Source organism: Homo sapiens, chromosome 1 (assembly GCF_000001405.40).
Source record: "Homo sapiens chromosome 1, GRCh38.p14 Primary Assembly".
Taxonomy (NCBI): Eukaryota; Metazoa; Chordata; class Mammalia; order Primates; family Hominidae; genus Homo; species Homo sapiens.
This window is the reverse complement of record NC_000001.11, coordinates 96,551,538-96,553,806: the sequence shown is the minus strand read 5'-3', so window position 1 is coordinate 96,553,806 and position 2,269 is coordinate 96,551,538.

Genomic DNA, 2,269 nt, shown 5'->3' with positions numbered 1-2,269 from the left:
TAAATAAGTGAAAGGAGTTCCAGCCTCTGTTTTTAAATAATTTTTGGTCTTTAGTTAACAGCATACCAGGGTAAGGTACAAATGAACCCATTCAATTGATAGCTAATAGTTGGTGTACTCCAAAATATATATACATCTCTGATAAAACAGCTGAATCGATTATATTAATCACCAAACAATAATCTTGAAAACTATTGGGGATTTTTATTCATGTTGAACAATGGCCAGCTCTTTGCTGATAATAAACATTATATAGAGTCACATATACAAATAAAAGAAAACTTCCTAGGTTACATATTTATCAGTGAAACACACATATGCTAGAATAGCAAATAGCTAAATAGCAAAACACTAGTCTCCGAAGGCAGGGGGTTTTTTCATATGGCTACATAAGAAGTATCATAGAATCAATGTCTTTTGCACAGTGGGAAAACAATTTCAGTTTGAATTCAGCTTGGAAGTTTTTCTCTATCCATCAGAAAGCCAGGACTGTTTATAAAGCCCTTTCCATTGCCACAATACTCTGAGAGAGACAGTGAGAAGTACAACACAGAAAGAGATGTAGCTGTAAAGTGCTGGAGTAGAATTCAAAACCATGTCAGATTTACTGGAGCTCATACTTATCTGTTCTTCTTTCGAAAAGGCAGGTTGCGGGGAAGATCATGGGCATTGGACTAAGAAAGGTAAGAGGCTCAATCCTTGACCTTGGATACATTTCCTGATCTTTCTGCTTTTCATTACCTTCACCTTTAAGATTCCAGTCCTTAACCATATTGTCATACTTAATAAATATGTATTGAATGAACGGATAACTACAATGAATAATAGGTACTTGTGAAGTTGTATAGATTAAAAAAAATCATTTCTTTTTTATTTTTTAGGCAAACGTGATAACCACTAAACTACAGAAATGTATTCTTTTATATTTGTATCATGCTTTACACATAGCAGGTGCCAAATAATTGCTCCTTTCTATTCCCATTCCTTAGGGAAAGATGCCATACCTTTTTTTTGATTAATCATAGTAACTGGGATAGTACCAGAACAATAAAATACATCTTTATTGGTTACTTAATAGTACTCATTTCATGTAACAATAATTGGAAACTGGGGATTTATGTCAGGATGACTTATGCCAAGTATATTATAGTAATCTAGGCAAATAATGTTTAAGACAAGCTGCAAAGTGCAGGCCTGCAGGCCATGTCTGCAGATGTGTTTGATTTGGCCATACACATGCTTAAAAGAAAACAATACATACTGGAATATCTTTACAAGGGCATATGCACTCTGGATATACCTTAGCCTCCAACATTTCCTACTACCTTTTCAGGCTGTTCAGGTCATGATTCTATTACCATTCTGGCTGCTGTTGGCGTATAAGAGTATAACTTTGGTTTAAGACCAAGGAAAAGTATTGAGACTCAACACTGGAGAAATGGGGATATCACCTCTGAATGAAGTATAGGTAGAGAAAAGTTTTATTGACAAGTGCAAGCTGAGTACTCAGGGACTGCTGAATACCTAGGCGTATTCTTAACTCACACAACGTATCAGTTAATTGAAAATCTATACACTTTAAAGACGCTAAGGAAATTCTGATAGATGTACTTTGGTAGATTGCATATGTCAAACCCGATAATTTTTAGAAAAGCAAGTATAAATTGACTCAAGATTAATTGTAACAAATGAAATACATATGAAGATAATCAGGTAACAACATAGTGCAGATTTTAATATGTTCAAAACCTTAGGAAATAGATACGACTAATAAAAAATAAGGTTCCAATTTGACCAAAAGGTAAATTGAGAATAATAATAATGAAAAAAATTTGTTATCATATGGTACATCAGAAAGTAGCCTATCCCAGGTTTAATAAAGATGCTAATATAATTGTGTTATTAAAATTGTTCAGCCAGGCCAGGCACCATGGCTCATGCCTGTAATCCTAGCCCTTTGGGAGGCCAAGGCGGGTGGATCCCTTAAGCTCAGGAGTTCAAGACCACCCTGAACAACATGGTAAAACCCCATCTTTACAAAAAATACAAAAAATTAGCCTGGTGTGGTGGTGCGTGGCTATAATCTCAGGGCGTGAGGTGGGAAGATTCCTTGAGCTGGGGAGGTCCAGGCTGCAGTGAGCTGAGGTGGCACCACTGTAATCTAGCCTGGGCAACAGAGTGAGATCCAATGTCAAAAAACAAATAAACAAACAACCAAAAAACTGCTTGGCCAGGAATATGCATATATTCACTAAAAAAGGACAAGATA